Source organism: Homo sapiens, chromosome 6 (genome assembly GCF_000001405.40).
Source record: "Homo sapiens chromosome 6, GRCh38.p14 Primary Assembly".
NCBI lineage: Eukaryota > Metazoa > Chordata > Mammalia > Primates > Hominidae > Homo > Homo sapiens.
In genome coordinates, this window is record NC_000006.12 from 112,070,663 (window position 1) to 112,087,313 (window position 16,651).

General features: G+C 34.3%; 1 protein-coding gene across 3 annotated transcripts in view, besides 2 other annotated features; it reads right to left on the minus strand.

Annotated features, from left to right (window-relative positions):
- TUBE1 (tubulin epsilon 1) overlaps positions 1 to 16,651 on the minus strand; it is a 16,820-nt gene continuing 169 nt past the window's right edge. The window contains exons 2-12 of one of the 3 annotated variants that reach the window (NM_016262.5): positions 16,571 to 16,644; positions 15,894 to 15,946; positions 13,527 to 13,584; positions 10,430 to 10,545; positions 8,971 to 9,092; positions 5,660 to 5,847; positions 5,275 to 5,450; positions 4,048 to 4,188; positions 2,096 to 2,236; positions 1,240 to 1,414; positions 1 to 908 (exon numbers count right to left, since the gene is read on the minus strand). In NM_016262.5, coding sequence (NP_057346.1) covers positions 750 to 908; positions 1,240 to 1,414; positions 2,096 to 2,236; positions 4,048 to 4,188; positions 5,275 to 5,450; positions 5,660 to 5,847; positions 8,971 to 9,092; positions 10,430 to 10,545; positions 13,527 to 13,584; positions 15,894 to 15,946; positions 16,571 to 16,644 — 1,403 coding nt within the window. In that variant the 3' untranslated portion in view covers positions 1 to 749. Of the gene's footprint in view, positions 909 to 1,239; positions 1,415 to 2,095; positions 2,237 to 4,047; positions 4,189 to 5,274; positions 5,451 to 5,659; positions 5,848 to 8,970; positions 9,093 to 10,429; positions 10,546 to 13,526; positions 13,585 to 15,012; positions 15,082 to 15,893; positions 15,947 to 16,570; positions 16,645 to 16,651 lie in introns of those variants that run through there. The other 2 variants (XM_047418854.1, XM_047418855.1) reach the window with 2 other exon arrangements.
- Positions 16,350 to 16,399: an enhancer, noted in NCBI's record as "active region_24959". NCBI's record gives its function as "activates an Ori minimal core promoter by ATAC-STARR-seq in GM12878 lymphoblastoid cells {active_cell/tissue: GM12878}" and the evidence as "EXISTENCE:reporter gene assay evidence [ECO:0000049][PMID:35858748]".
- Positions 16,534 to 16,651: part of an enhancer, noted in NCBI's record as "H3K27ac hESC enhancer chr6:112408399-112408930 (GRCh37/hg19 assembly coordinates)", that runs on past the window's edge. NCBI's record gives its function as "activates a minimal SCP1, AML or CMV promoter by ChIP-STARR-seq in naive H9 embryonic stem cells {active_cell/tissue: H9 hESC(naive)}" and the evidence as "EXISTENCE:reporter gene assay evidence [ECO:0000049][PMID:30033119]".

Here is a 16,651-nt window from a genome sequence, read left to right on the forward strand (position 1 = left end):
TTATAGTAACCGGAACAATTATAGCCATTTATTGCAAAGTTTGGAAGATATCAAGCTTAGTAACATTCTGTTCATTTGCATAAATGTCATGCAGAACAATAACAAGTAGCACTGTTGAAAAATATAGACATTTATTATAAAATCAATTGGTTTGATAAGAAAGCAATTATTTAAAAAGTTTAATACAAATACATGTTAAGTGTACAAATTAGGATTCTTTTGGGCAAACAAGTTGTTATCTAAAGAAGAAGCAAAACCTCCTTAACAGTTGTAATAAAACCTATGCCTGAAAAGTTGGTGGCTATTACACGGAAATATTTATATTGTGTTCTTCTACTCCCAATAACTACTTTTAAAGAATCAGGATAACTTAAATAGAATATCAAAATATAAATTATAAATAATTATAAAAATATATCTGTACAAGATTTTTATTGAAGACACATCAGTGCATAAATGCCTAAATATGAGGCTATAAATACAGCAAAATATTCAAGAACTATGTTATCTCAATTTTAGAAAAGGGAACTTTTCTGAAGAGAAATGTTTGAAGTTAAGGTACTAAGATTTCACTAATTTCACACATTGGTATTACCAACAAATTGCGATTAAACAGAAATCACTCTTTTAGACAAAAATATTTCCCGATAATATGAAAAAACTGGAGTTTCCAAATTACAAAAATGTTGAAACAGAAAGGTCAGAAAAAACAATGTGAAATTAAGAAAGTATTTTTGAGGGTTTCTTTTTCACATAGCTATGCTTAGTCTGGGTAAATCCTGCACAGGCATGTTTTTTGTGGCGTCCAGTTGGTCATATTCCTGTATGAGTGCTGATAAAGATGACACAGCTTCTGTGAAACAGCTTTCTTCCATCCCTTCAACTTGTAGATAGTGATGAAGGTGAGCCTATAAATTAAAAAATTAGGTAACGTTTACCATTTCAGGAACTTTAATACATAAGACTATCCTAAAAGGTAAATATTCCTTATTAAAATTAGAGTTCATTCAGCTCTACATTTGAAAGAGAACTTGTGTCAAATTGAATGAATCCTATAAACTCATGAATTTTCTCATTTAGAGTAAAAGTAGCATGAGTAAGCCTCTCCTCTTCAGTTATAATCAGTACAACGCACATAATAGAAAACATCACCCCTGATTTGTAATAGTGTAATTTTTAAGAATACATCTTAAATAGCCAAAATAAACACATACAGTTACAAAGCTGTACAATAATTACCTTTTTCTTGTAGAGCCTCATGAATCTCTCTTTCAGTTCCATGAAGGTGGGCTTCACACATGTGTTATTTGCTAAAGCTAATAACGAATGAGAATGGCCCACAGGAGGTACGGAACACAGGCTGGTCTTCCAGCCTTCTTGATTCCAGGAGACAAATTGTAGAGATGGTTTTAATCTGAGATTAAAAAAAAAAATCTCAGAAGGTGAGAACTAAGGTACTAAAAATGTCTGCCATATAATGGCAGCTCATATTAGTTAAACCAGAACATTATGGATGGTATCAATCTACTTGCTTAGTTTAGACGCTAAGTTATCTATTTTTTACTATTGGCAGTAACATGGTACAGTCTGATAGTGAACTAAGAGACATTTTGTAGGGGAACATTAAATTGGCTGTGTTGTGATTCAAGAAGCTAGAAACTCATTCCTTAAGAGTAGAAATCTAGGGATATAAAGAAATGAAGGTACTACCATTTTCCTTACTTTGTAATTCAACAGACTAGTTTTCTTACAAATAGAATGAAATAGTAACACAAAAATCAGAAGTAGTAGTAGTACTACTATAGTAGTACTGGTGGCAGTGGTAATAAAAATAGTATAGCTACGATTTTCTGAACACTTTCATAAAATAAAACATGTCATATATCATTTAAGACTCCTAAATAAAAACCATGTACTATTATTATCCTTATTTTACACTTGAAGAAAACAAGGCACAAAGAGACTAAGTAGTTTGTTCACAGTCACACTTTAGTAAGTGGCACTGCTAGAATTTGAAGGGCGGCTGTTAACTAACTACTATGCCACACTGTCCCAAGCAGCACACACAAATTATCTTTAAAAATATAAACCAAACCTTTCAATATTTCTACGAAGATCTGAAATTTGTACATTTCCTCTAACCATGAGTGCACAGGCGAGGTAAAGACTGTGTTTGGGGTCTGCCCGAAGCAGCTGGTGATCTTTACTAAAGGCATCTGAAAACATCTGATCCAATCTGCAACAATGAAATTGTCATTGTTTATACAAAATATTACTTCTTTCTATGTATAACTATAAAATGAAGATAGTCCTCTATAAGTAAGAAACCACACTAAATATTACACTAACAAAATATTAGATTATATATATTCTAAAAATATTAAATAACTATACTTTTCTTGAAGCAATCTTAATGATATGAGAAGAGAAGAAATCATATAATATTTTCTTTTTCTGGGGGAAAAGGCTTCTGCAGTATATGGGTGATTTCAGGTAGCTACAAAATGTTGACTGTAGCATTATGAACTCTATGTAGTACTGATTTTTGAAACTTGTATTATTATTACTTAGTTCGGTATACCTTATTTATTTCATAGTATCCAAACTACTAAAACTAATTAAAAGCCTAGAACATTAAGACTATTACTTTGTAAAGTATATTATATCATAAATTTTGTTAACAGGAGGAAATTATCAAAGGACAATGTGAAGCTCTCCTATAAAAGATGAAACTCCATAGTAGTTCTCCTAAAAGTAGAGACTTTTAACCTAAGTCTTTTAACTGAAGGATAAAAGACAAAAGAAAATAAAGGTGACTGACAAAGTTTATATCTAACAATACACAGACTCCAATGCTAGGCTGATGCCAATGGACATTTAATAATCACCATGTTGCATACACTGTGTATGTTGCTTAGCTTGTTAAGGTCATCAGCATCCCATGCAGAAACGGAGTCCTATCTATTAGTTGGCAAAGTGGTCATTTGCTGTTGGCTTAGATGAAAACTTACCAATATCACTTGTGACATTCCTGAAGTATAGAATTATCTTGTCAAAACTTTAGTTATAAAAAAGAATCTTTAGTTTTCTTTAAAAACTTTTAAAAAATTATTTTCAATCTGTTTTAGAGACAGGGTCTGTCTTCCTTTGTTGCCCAAGCTGGAGTGCAGGATCAAAATTATAGCTCAATGCAGCCTCAAACTCCTGGGTTCAAGTGATCCTCCCACTTCAGTCTCCAGAGTAGCTGGGACTACAAGTGCAGACAGGGTCTCACACTATGTTGCCCCGGCTGGTCTTGAACTCCTGGGCTCAAGTGATCCTCCCATCTCATCCTTTCAAAGTGTTGGAATTACAGGTGTGAGCCACTGCACTCAGCCAATTTAGTTTTCCCTTTCTTATTTACATACTGTCTCCTTACAGAGTTTGGCAGGACTTTTTCCCTCAGTCAACTGTGAATGCCACTGTGAACTTTTCAAGCTCATCATCAGTATACATGCTAAGAGTATCTTTCAAAACTACATTTTTTGTTAAGTATACTGATGTAATCTTTATGCTTAACAATGACACACAGTTATAAAGCAAGGTGTTCTGGAAAACATACAGAGTTACATCTGAAATTCTTCTATGGTACTGGGCTGTGACAGTAGCTTTAAAACAAACTCTCATTTAATCTACCCAATAAGTATATGAGGTAGGTACTATTTCATTTTTACAGATGAGAAAAACTAAGAAAGTTTAAGTCACTTGCCCAAAGTCCTGTAGCTAGCGACAGTTAGGATTCAAATGTGTTTGTCAGACTTCAAAGGACTTTTCATAAGCCTACAAATTTAATCATTAGATTTAAGTTCAAATAGTTTAATACTGGCATTTTTCAACAATTACTTCTAAATAAAGATGCATTCATCTAATGCAAAAATGGATGTCATCAACTCTCACAGATAAGATGATACAATTAAATAACTAGAGTTATTGCAAACTTTTTTCTCTTAAAAATGTTTTTTAAAGTAATTTGAGGCCTCAAAAAATTGAAACAAAGTTACACCTTACCTTCTAGGAGGAATGTTAACATCTGTCAGTGTATACAGAGGTGTTAGGCTTGACACGAGATAATGAAGTTGAGGAAAAGGAACTAAATTCATGCTGATTTCATTAAGGTCCATATTAAGGGACCCTTCAAATCTTGCAGAGCTAAAAAGTTAACATTAAAATGAGAAAATTTTTAATTTTAAAATTATACACTTTAAATGTAGCTCGATTTATTCAGCAGGTAGTTTCTTAAATTCTTTTGTACACTGTTCTTCAGTGCAGAACACATGCTTTTCTTCCATATTAGTGAAAGTTAGTATCAGAACAATCATGTATAAAATAAAATATAACACACAACATCTACATTTTTTTTTTCTTTCTTTTTTTTTTTTTTTTGAGACAGGGTCTCGCTCTGGTTGCCCAGGCTGGAGTGTAGTGGTGTGATCTCAGCTCACTGCAACCGCCGCCTCCCATCTCAGCCTCCTGAGCAGCTGAGACTACAGTAGGCATACAACACCTTGCCTGGCTAATTTTTGTATTTTTTGTAGATATGGGATTTTACCATGTGCCCCAGGCTGATCTCCAGCTCCTGGGCTCAAGCAATCTACCTGCCTTGGCCTCCTAATGTGCTGAGATTTACAGGCATGAGCCACCATGGCTGGCCCTACAGTCATTCTTTCTGGATTATCTGAAGTGTAATCAATATACTATTATAGTTGCTCATTACACATATAAAAATATCCTATTTAAAACAAACTTTATATTTGAGTTAAACACATATAAGTCAATAATTAGTAACTGTAGAAACAACTAATTTCCTCAAGAATCTGCTTAATATACTCTATAATCTAGAATATAATAATGTCAAAGCAATCTCTGATACCAAAAAGCCACAGAAATCTTTTGGACCAGTTAATGAGGAGGTACAGATTAGTTGGTTTAAATGATTAAGACATTCTACAGCTAAAAAATGTTTAATTTTGTCTACGTGTTTTACAAGTGTGTCAACCACAAAATCTTTTACATCATATGATATCTGTTCATATTCCATGGAACATACTTGGGGAAATGCTGCTTTGGAGTCATAGAAGGTAAAATTCTGCGTGATCACTCCAAGAAAAGATAGAAGACAAAATAAAAACAGAAGCAGCTTCTACAATTTAGAATAACTAAAAAATGCTACTACAAAAATTCAAAATATCTCCAAAAGCACAATAAAGTTTTTTGACTATCCCTGGATAGAATTACCTCGTTAGGTTGAGGAGCAAATTTGCCACAATGTTATTCATTGCATCAAAGGGCTTCTTATGCTGCTTTTTTAAAGCCCCAGAACTTGAAGTAACCAGACTCTTTGGCTTCACAGTTGTACCCAACTTTCCAGAATTCACCATGAGGTCGATTTTGCTAATGATGTCAAATAAAGACTTTTGAGGGAAAAACATTGGGAGAGAAGCTATTAAGAAGAGTGGATGTAGATGATATTCTACTAGGAAAGAGAAAGAAAAACAATTTAAACTGATTTTTTCTCTAAGAAGGCTGAAAAGTGAAGAGAACGTTTCATATAAACACACATACATAATACAGGACTGAATATATATAACATTTATTCATAAGTTCCAATGTCATTTCTTACTTGATTGTCAATGGGCAATACACAGTCTGCATGCTCATTAAGTTCCTTCATTGCCAAGATGCTATTATAAGGTGAGGTTATGACATCATCCTCACCAGAAGGATAAATGGAAGTCACAAATCTGTATACTTCTGGGAATTCGTCTTCAAGCACCTTTAAAAGAAATGTGCCAAGTCCAGATCCTGTTCCTGAGGATTAAAGTGTTTTTAAAAATTAGCATAAATGATTCAGAATATAATTGTGAAGAATTTGAAACTTTATTTTTTTTGAGACAGGGTCTTGCTCTGTCACCCAGGCTGGAGTGCAGCAGCATAATCAGCTCAATGCAGCCTTGACCTCCTAGGGTCAAATGATCCTCCTGCCTCAGCCTCCCAAGTATCTGGGACCGCAGGCATGAGCCACCACGCCTGGCTAACTTTTTAATTTGTGTAGAGATAGGGTCTACCTATGTTGCCCAGGCTGGTCTTGAACTCCTAGGTTCAAGCAAGCTTCTGCCTTGGCCTCCCAAAGTGCTGGAATTACAGGCATGAGCCACCACACCTGGTCAGAATTTATATTTGTAAAAATAATTTTCAGCTTATTTCTGTGATTATATATTAACTAATCTAATTTTGGATAAGGAAATGAAGGCAACATTCAGGAAATGAAGTCCTGAATTCCATCTTTGGTTCTGACAGTGAGTTTGGGAGGGCCGTCTATATCTCACTCCTTTTCATATTTAAGTTATACCTATATAATGCCACAAGAACCAATTGCACATGCACAAGTAAAAAATTCAACTAAGACGGTGTTCAGTCTACATTTGATATTAAGCAACTTAAGAAAACTAACTTGACAGCTTTAGTGTAGTGTGTATATAATCTTGATGAAAAAAACTATCATGTCATCAAGCAACTTAAACAGAGTTAAAACTGTTTACAATTAAGCATGCCTACCTCGAATTTCAAAAATTTTCAAATATGAAACACTACTTATTTAAAAGCAGAAACTCGAGGAATCTCATTAAAGATAACTTTCTGATACATCAAGTTACATTTACATAAATTCAGAAATTTTTCAGAACTTAAAACTGGAATCCTCTAATCCGATGTTTTTCAAACTGGGTTCTGAACTATTAGTAGGCTATGAAACTAATGAACAGATTAGTACTGTTTTCTTAAATGAAACAGTAGAAAATAACATGTCAGATGTAGTATGAGTAAATAACATTTTCTTAATATATTTTTTCATGTGTGTATGCTGCATTGTGATATATAAAATGTATTTCATACTATTCTGGTTAAAAAAAACTTTAAACACCAATGTTCTAATCCATGCAGATAACTATTAAAAGGCTATGATGCTAAAAATACTAAGTCAAAGTGAGGGAGATTCTTGGGGTGATCTTTAATGAGAAGGACTTTCTAAGCGTCACAAAAAAACCAGAGCCATTACAGAAGAGACAGTTTTGATTTCATTAAAAATAAACAAAACTTCTATATATACTTAAAAAAACCCATAAAAAATAACAAGACAAACTTACAAAAAAACCCTTCAATACATATGATGGGAAGGACTAAGTTTCTCTAAGAAAGAGTTCCCACAAATCAACAACAAAAAATACGAATAATGCCACCACGAAATGGGCAAAGGATAGAAACATTTAACTCATAATAAAAGAAATACAAATTGCAAATAGAAGTAAAGATGCTCAACCTTTCTTCTAATTAAGGAAATACAAATTAAAACTAAATACAATTTTGAATATAATAGATTTATGTCTCATGATACTCAGTATTGGTGCTAGTGTAGGGAAATAGAAACTCATACACATTGTTGCCAGTAAGAAGCACTGGTGCAATATTGTAGGAAGGTATATAGGTAATATCAGCCAAAATTTAAAATGTACATATGCTTTGGTCCTATCTTTTTCTTAGGAATACTGTCTAAAGCTATAGTGGCACAAATACAGAAGTATTTGTCCCAGACTTTCACTGATGATTGGATGTAAAAACTAAACACCATAAACACTTAATACCCATAAATAACAAACTCACTTTAAACTGTATAATTGATTCTATGACAGAGAGCTGATATGGAAAGATGTCTGAGAAAGAGATAAAGTGGAAAAGTTACAGTATAGTATATATTGGATAATCTTGTTTATGTAAAAATATACATACATGCTTTGATAGGCATAGAATATATCTGAAAGAACAGACATAAAAAGACCCTGCAAACCTGATCATCTGTAAGGACAGGGAGTAGGCATTAGATGTGGGGAAAAAAGAACTTTACTTTTAACCTTTAGTATTAATATTTATTTTTGCTATTTTAAGTGAATTGTAAGTATGTTCTTCTGAGATGTTGGGTAGTAAAGGTATTTTTTAAAAAGGTATAACGAACTATAAATCAAATAAAAAGCTAGCTCAAATTTGCAGGTTAATTATACTAGCACAGAAACAAATTTGTTTCTTAACCGATGATTATGAGGATCTTTTAAAGACATGGTTACACAGCAATTTTAACTTTTAATCTTAAAATGCTATGTCAATGAATAATATGTATAAAAATCAACTGTACATACACCTAACTTGCTGAATATAAAATCTTAATCTCAGGTTGGAGGAAAAAAGTGTGACCATTTTGTTCTTTTAAAATTTGCTAAGCGTATTTAAAAATCAGCAAGTTACATTCTGTTTCTATTTTTACAGAACAGGGGAGCAAAATACTTCAGTTCTAAGGTATAGACTTCCCTGGGGGAAGAAAGCAATGCCAATCATTTATTTTTACTTCAAGTTGATTAATTGCCATGTAATAAATGATCTAAAGGAATTGACTAAACTAGTTTCCTTTTTTTTCTCTTTTTGGAGACAAGAAAGGTTTGAAGATGGTTAAAGAAAGGGTATTAATATCCTTTGGCAAGCACACATCATGAGCACGTCAAAAATGCTTCACTCTAGGAAATAGGACTGTACAGGCAAACTCTAAGGAGAAAGTCAGCATTTCTCAAAAGCTCATACATCCTGAAAAGTATCTGAATGTTCTGTAAAAGAAACTAAAGGTACAAGAAAAAAAATTTTCCAGTATAGTTCTGTTGACTCTTAAGAGGGCTTACATTAAAAAAAAAAAAAAAGAAAAGAAAAGAAAATAGTGACATAATTCCACAAAATTTTAAGATAAAAAGGTGTATGTTTATATACTCAAACTACACACCCTCCGAATAGTTCTATCTTTATCAAGCACAGGTCTAAAAACAAGACTTACGTTTGCAAAATGAATTCCCACTTATCCTTTAACACTGTTACAGGCAAATGAGTGAAAAATTTTACCTCCTCCCATGGAATGTATTATAAAGAAACACTGCAAGCAATCACAGTGCTCTGCCGACTTTCTGAATTTCTCTAAAATCTGGTCTTGGTAAAGACTGCCGAAAACTTTGTGACCCACGGCCCTGAAAATTAGAATATGGATTTTAAAAATTCCTTGCATTTATTTTTTTATTTGATTAGTTCTAATCTAAATAAAAGGATTTTAAACAAATTTGAAAAGTATTCTTATTGAGCTAAGTAAAGTCTATTCTTGTTTCATGTAAATAAATCATACAATATCCTGAAGATACTAGATAGAAAACTTAACAAATATTCAGTATCTATAATCCTCAAATATCTGGATAAGTAAGCTCATTAGTAGTGAATATTAAACTATGATTTTCTAAATTCATCTTAACCTTCTCTTAAGGTACAATTCCAACAAAACAAGATTGCAGTTACATAATTTTTTCTTCTCTCCATTTAAGGCAAACTCTGAATTGTAGTGGATTTTACATACTAAAAAGCAAAATGTGGTAAACTACAGAGACACTGAAAATCAAAAATTTAAACAAACCTATTCTGGTTTCATATATGAGAAAAAAAAGGTCACATCATGTTATTAGATGAAATGGTACATGGTAGAAATTGATAATCATGCAGCTCTGCAAGTCTTTTTAAGTTGTCCAAATTTGCAAATATCACTATGATGAATTAAAACAAAAGATTTTCCCATAATATGCATTTCAGGTATAACTCAAAAGTTACATAATAAGTTATACAACAATTAGTAAAAATGCAGTTAGGTGGTCAGATGGGCTCACTTACTAAGTGACTGGTTCTCTGGGAACACAAGATTCAAATTTATGCCTTAGTAAAATTACATATTATTCCGCATTATGAACCTGAGGGACTGGCTGCAAATAGTGAAAATAATGAATATGAGAGATTTGCAAATAACAAGGAGCTAATTTCTAAAAAACAGCAACAGTCTCAATGTGAATTCTTAAGTAATCACTGTTGAAGCTTTTTTCACAGTAAAGAGAAGAGACCATTATATACTCAAGGGCCTAAACAGCCTTAGGCTCAGCTTGAATGCTAGGATACTGGTCTGGCTTGCATCTCTACCAATTGTATTACATCTGACCAATTGGACAACTTGAGAGTGAGTCAAATAACATAGATAACAGTTAATGAAAGTACTTAAAACATTTGTCATTATTTAATGTTCTTCAAGAATTTATGAAACGGAATTTAGCAAATTAATTTTTCATAATTCTTCTTTTTCTTTAAAAAAGTTAGAAAGAACTAGGAGTAAATACAGGTGGCTTCCAAGCCACTATTTATTAAGGTGGTGGGCTGAAAGGCCTAGCATTATGTGGCAAATTACATCCTGTTTCGTATCAGCAGAATCTCACAATGAAGAAAGATTGCTCATTTTTTTCAGAAGATATTCAATTTTTACGCTGTGTATTCTCACCAATTATTTCCTGAGCCAGAAATATCAGTGATGAGCTGTTTCGTATCAAATACATCTCTCAGTGGTCCCTGCAGAATTTCATTCACTACCCCTTCTTCCATATCAATCAAGACTGCCTGAGAAAGAAAAATAAAATATAATTAATGTATTTTCTTTTAGAGTTATTCACTCTGTAAATGAAAAGAATTTATGCGCTGAATATTGCACTGTTCTCTTTATAGTTTAAGCTTAATTAAAATCTTTACGTAGAATCTGTTGTAAAAATTAAAAAAGAATTTCACTCTGTTTGAAAGGTGGAATCCAATTAAAAAATGGATTCTAAATTCTTTTATCCTACTCCAAAATGCCTAGTTGGGGGAAAAAAGCCCAAGAATAATCCCCTCAACTGTATTTCTAACAAGGTCTCAGAAATGTAGAAGGTATCCTTAACCAGAACAAGTTCTCAATACAGGATGCATGAATGTACTTGCATACTAGGAACAATCATGCTGCTCTTTATGAACCACAGCTCAAAACTGTCCAACTCAAATGAGTAAATTTACCATTACGTGCAAAGCAAAGGCACTGGATAGATGTAAAAAATGACAACATGGTCCCTTCCCCCAAGTAATTCACAATCTAATTCATTACTACAAACTTTAGCTGACATGACAGAAAACATACACTCCTAAGAAGAAATGAGAATATAAAACACAAAATTAATTATGGAAAAAAAAAAAACAGAAAAAAAAAAAGATGAAGGACATCTAGTAAAACGTAAAGCAGGGATAGCTTGGCAGTAGGATTACATGTCCCGTCCTCCCACTTCCCTTACTTTCCATATATTCTACAGCGAGGAAGAAGAGTAAAAAAGTAAACTAAGTAGAGTTAAATAAAAAAAGCAAAGCTGAAACAAATTCTTAGGGTACACTAAACAATGATTTGTTAACTGTTTGATTCAGTGTCACAGAGGAAGTGCTCGGTTTATGGCTTTCAGTTCTGTTACCATATAACATTAAGCAGTGAGTTTAATCATGTGTGTAATTAACCATGCTACTTCAAGATATTACAATTAAAATAATACAGCAGTATATCATAAAGACTATAAAACTATGTTTTACAAATGTGCTCCTTTATATAGAGCAATCATATATACACTTTACATACAGAGGACTGTATAGGATTATGTTTGGCAATGTTAGGTATTTTCAAGCATATTTCTGACAATATGCAATTTTGACCTCAAATGCTGACTTTAACACCTAAACAAACCAAAGAGAGACTTCACTGTATGGGCAAATTTTAGTACTACAAGTTGTGAGATTATAAAAGAAAAAGCAAATTGGATTATACTGGCCTTGTTCCAAAATAGATTTATTGAGGTATGTGGAAGATTAAACATACATAAATCATACCCTCAATTACTCTGCTATCTGGCAAGGGAGGCAATATGCAAATACAAACTGATATTCAGGTACCTCCTGAAATTAGTTTTGATAGAATCATCACTGTCCTAGTCACTTAACATTAAAATCCTGACATATAACTCTTCCAGACCTCCCTTAGTTACATCAGGCCCTTGTTTTTCCTTTGGAAATTAACTAAACTTTGGGAGAGTATTTTGGGTTCTTCACTTAGGCATCCAAGGTCTGGAGTCACAACTGTTCCAGGATTTGATGTTTGTACTTCCTTTCAGAGCCACCTGGCTTTACAATTGTAACAGGATTTATAAAATTCTGAGTATTTATTAACCTAAGAAACTGAACACAGTGAAGGGACCCAAGCACCAAGTTATCTTGTGAAGCCTGGACTCTTCAGTGATCACAACCACATAATACCAAGAGCTCTTAAGGAGAAAATGGAAGAGTACCTTCTCGGAAAAAAAGTCAAAGGCTACAAAAACACGCTGATTTATTTTTTCCTAATAGTGTTTCCTTCACCTCTCAATCTGCTTACTGATACGGTTGTAGGAAAAAGATTCAACTGGGAGTAGTCTAGGAAATGTCAAAGTCTCTTTTTCTCTAAGATTTGGATTGGGATACCTGCTCTCTCTACATCACAAAGCATACTGTGTTAGTCAATTATTGTAACAGCCTGCAAGCACATGATCTCTGCCCTAAATTTTGTTTTCCAAGGACATCGGAGATTGCAGATACTAGATGATTCCCAGATGTCACAAAACTATTGCTCACCAGTCTTTAAGCTACTACACCAGGTCTGATCCTTGGCATCTCAATTCCTTCCATAACATTTTTTTTTTTTTTTTTTGAGACGGAGTCCCGCTGTCGCCCAGGTTGGATGCAGTGGCGCGATCTCGGCTCACTGCAGGCTCTGCCCCCCGGGGTTCACGCCATTTTCCTGCCTCAGCCTCCCGAGCAGCTAGGACTACAGGTGCCCGCCACCTCGCCCAGCTAATTTTTTGTATTTTTAGTAGAGACGGGGTTTCACCATGTTAGCCAGGATGGTCTTGATCTCCTGACCTTGTGATCTGCCCGCTTCGGCCTCCCAAAGTGCTGGGATTACAGGCGTGAGCCACCGCGCCCAGCACCTTCCATAACATTTAAACTTTCTTTTCTATTATAGTCAAAGATCACTGATCAAAAATCAGAAAAAGTAGTTCGTTACAGACAATCACAGAAATATTGTTGGAATGATTAAGACTGTAAATAAGACTGTAAATATGGGCTAAGAACCTGAAGTACTTGGTTCAGGAGAACTTATATGGTGAATGGTTTTTATTCACTACAATGTGGCTGGTTCCATGTTTTTTATTGGTAGTAACTTTGATGCAAATAAATCTTCCAGTATCTTTAAATAAAACATTAAACTGTACTAGTACGTATTTCAGGTCCTTAGAGTTAAGAATGCTCCTTTTGTTATCATTTATCTAGACACTATTTCTCCTGAAAACAGGCTAACTACAGTGTTTTAAAGTATGGGCTTTTCCCCCTAATGTGTTAGGTGGACACAAATGTCTGCTTAGTTATATTTATATTAAATGTGGCTTAGTAATTTTTTTCTACTTTGAAAAGTTTAAAGTTTTATTCTCATGATAGTTACTGAGAATAGTTATTTAAAAAATACATGTAATATAAGAATCCAAGCATATGTATCTTACTCGTGCTTTTAAAGAACATATTTTTCCCTTGGAAATACTTCCACCATCACCAACCACTCTGAAAGATAAAAAAATGAGAAATGGTCATAAGATCTTCCATGGCTAATAGCACTATCAGGTGATAAAGTTAACTTCCATTTATATAATAAGACTGCTTATAGGCCAGGTAAGGCAGACACAACAGCTATTCCTAATCTCTTTCTTCCTTGCTTACCTCCCATTAGGCTGAAAAAGTGAGGTACTTAGTTTCCTGGCTTTCTTTGTAGTTAGGGCTGGCCATGTAATCCAGTTCTAGCCAATGAGATAAAGGGGAAGTATTCTGGGAAGCTTTTAAAGAAGGACCAGATGCAGTTGGTGCCTATCTTCTTTCTTTTTCCTGCCTCAAACTTGAATATGGATGTGATTCCTGGAGAAGACTGCCATTTTATAGTCATGAAGTAATAATACAAGTACAAAAAGCCAACACACTTATGGACAGTGGAACATATATAGTATTAGATCTTTGAGGCATTCCTTTAAACCTAGAACATCTGATTTGCAGATTTGTGAGATAAATGAATACCTTTACTGCCTCAGCCACCATTAATGTAGTTTTCTATTGCAGTTAACACCCATCAACTGATATAACTGGTATTTACCATTGAGTATCTAAGGTTGTTCTCAGAATTTCACGTTGGAAATAAGTTGCCAAAGTACTAAAATCTAACGCAGTATATGGGTCAATAAAGACAGTTCACAAGACGGAATATATGAAGGGTAGCCAATCATCAGGCCAAATTCAACTAGCTGCCTGTTTTCCTAAATAAAATTTTATTCAAATGTGGACACACCCATTCCTTTATGTATTACCTATGCCCACAATCATGCTACAGATCAAGTAGTGGTGCAAAAGACTTTATGGTTCACAAAACCTAAAATATTTACTGCCTGGTCCTTTACAGAAAATATATGCATGCCAACCCATGCTGTAGGTAAATTCCTATCATGCTACTCAAAAGGTATAAAAATTTGATAAGAATAGTACACAAAGATATGGTTTTACTTTGAAAAATATTTTTTGTACTAAGCTGTGGAACAGATGCTGCATGTGTTGATAGTACACAGAAAGAAGTGCAAGATGCCACAACCCTGTTTGCCAAACTTACCGGGAAAATAATAGTGCTCTCAGGTTAAAGTATAAAACACACAGAGTAGATGAGAGTGTAGTTATGAAGAGTCACCTTATGAAGAAAGAAAAGCTCCCAGGCTGAGTCTCAACTATGTAATACTCAATGTAAGCGTTGGGTAACAAGAAGTAAAGAGGTGGGTGTAGGAACTTAGCAAGAGAAGCGCCGGAAAGGAAGTATGACAGAAGCAAATTTGAGTCTCCTAAGAGAATTTAGAGGTGAGGATATTGTGGGCTACAAATAAGAGGGAATCTATAGTCTATATGACAGATATCTCCATAAAATAAATATAAATGATACCAGCCATTAAAGTAACTAACTTCCTTTGGTCTGATTCCATGGTCACCAAGCAACCTTCAGATTATTACACAGCTTTTCAGTTAGATTTCCTACAAAAGATAAAGTAATGTGCCTATGAAAATGAGAATTTGGTCTTTGGTTAACCTGGCTGTACTGGAGAGCACTGAACCCATCTCGAGATGCCAATGACACTTCTGAGTTTGCAAGCCAGTGCCCTAGATAGACTCTGGAATTCACCCAGGAAGCGCGGACTAATCAGCTTTCTCTGAAGATAACTGCTCACACACCCAGCCAACTATTTTAAACTAGAACTGATGTTCCTATTGGATTAAAGCCTGACACGAAGTATGTATTTTTCAGTTTAAGCACAGGACAGTTAGTTTTATGAAGTATTTTGAAAATGCATGAACTTAATGATTTAATATTAAAAGCTTATGGAGATATCCTAAACGGCAACTTAAATTACTCTTCCAGATAAAACATATATGGTACTTACATATACTCTTTATTAAATAAACAAAAACAATCCAACAACTGCTTGTCACCTTTTTAAGTATATTTTTATACTTACAGCATATATGTAAACAATATATTTTTCTTTCAAAAGTTAGTTATTACAGGATGCATTAACAAGATGCCCTCTGGGAAAATTTCAGCTTTCTTTTAATGAAACTTATTTCAAGGTTAAGTTAAAAGAAGTCACACTAAAGGGAAATCTGTTGTCTTCTTCGGGAAAATGATATAAGAATATTAATAATCTAATAGAATAAATATGCTTTCAATAATGAAACAAAAAAACACAACTTCGCAGCTGGCTATTTTTATTGTCCTTTGAAGAATTCTCTCCCAAGCTACTGAAACTTAAAGTATCACACTGTGACAGACTTTAATCCCATCTTACCTGGTGTCCACATTTCTAAAGAAGCTGCTTATTGCCTCATCATAAATTCCTTTCTAAAAAGAAAAACATATGTTAATAGCATTTAGGTTTTGCTTCTCGCCCAAATCAAGTTCTTTCAATTTTAATTACATAATACTGTAATGGCTAGGATGAGACTCTGATAAGAAAAACCAAGTATCACAAAATGCGGAGCCTGACTCTTCCCAATCTCCTTAGAAGAGTAAATGCCAGATCTACAGATAAAAAGTTCAGCAGGGGGTGCTAAAGAAAGGATTTCACCCATAGGACTGTAGGACAGGTCCATCAAATGAGCGTTCTCTGGATTCTTCGTAATCTTTTTAAAAGCTGACTGGTTAAATTAAGGAATACAATAACCACACGTGTTATCTATTTTACAAAGTACTTTCCCATATACAAATCTCACTGTTCTGCACACGAACACCAATAAAGAGGAGACCCTGAGAATCAGGAAAAACGTTAAGACTAAGGTCGCTGGCCAGTGTTCTTTTAGTTTAGTGTGTGTCTGACGCAACATGTTTAAAAACCAGTACGTTCTTTACTGGGAAGATCCCATGCATCTTAAACGGGTCAGATGAAAGCTCAAGTCGATTATTTCCTGCGTATGGGCTGGAAGACCTAGCTGACAGGCGAGGGGGCTCGCGGCGGCGGGCGGGTACCTGGTTGACCGCGGCGTGCTCCCTTAGTGCCAGGTCCCAGAAGCAGCAGCCGATCTGGTTTCCGCACTGGCCGACTGCGAC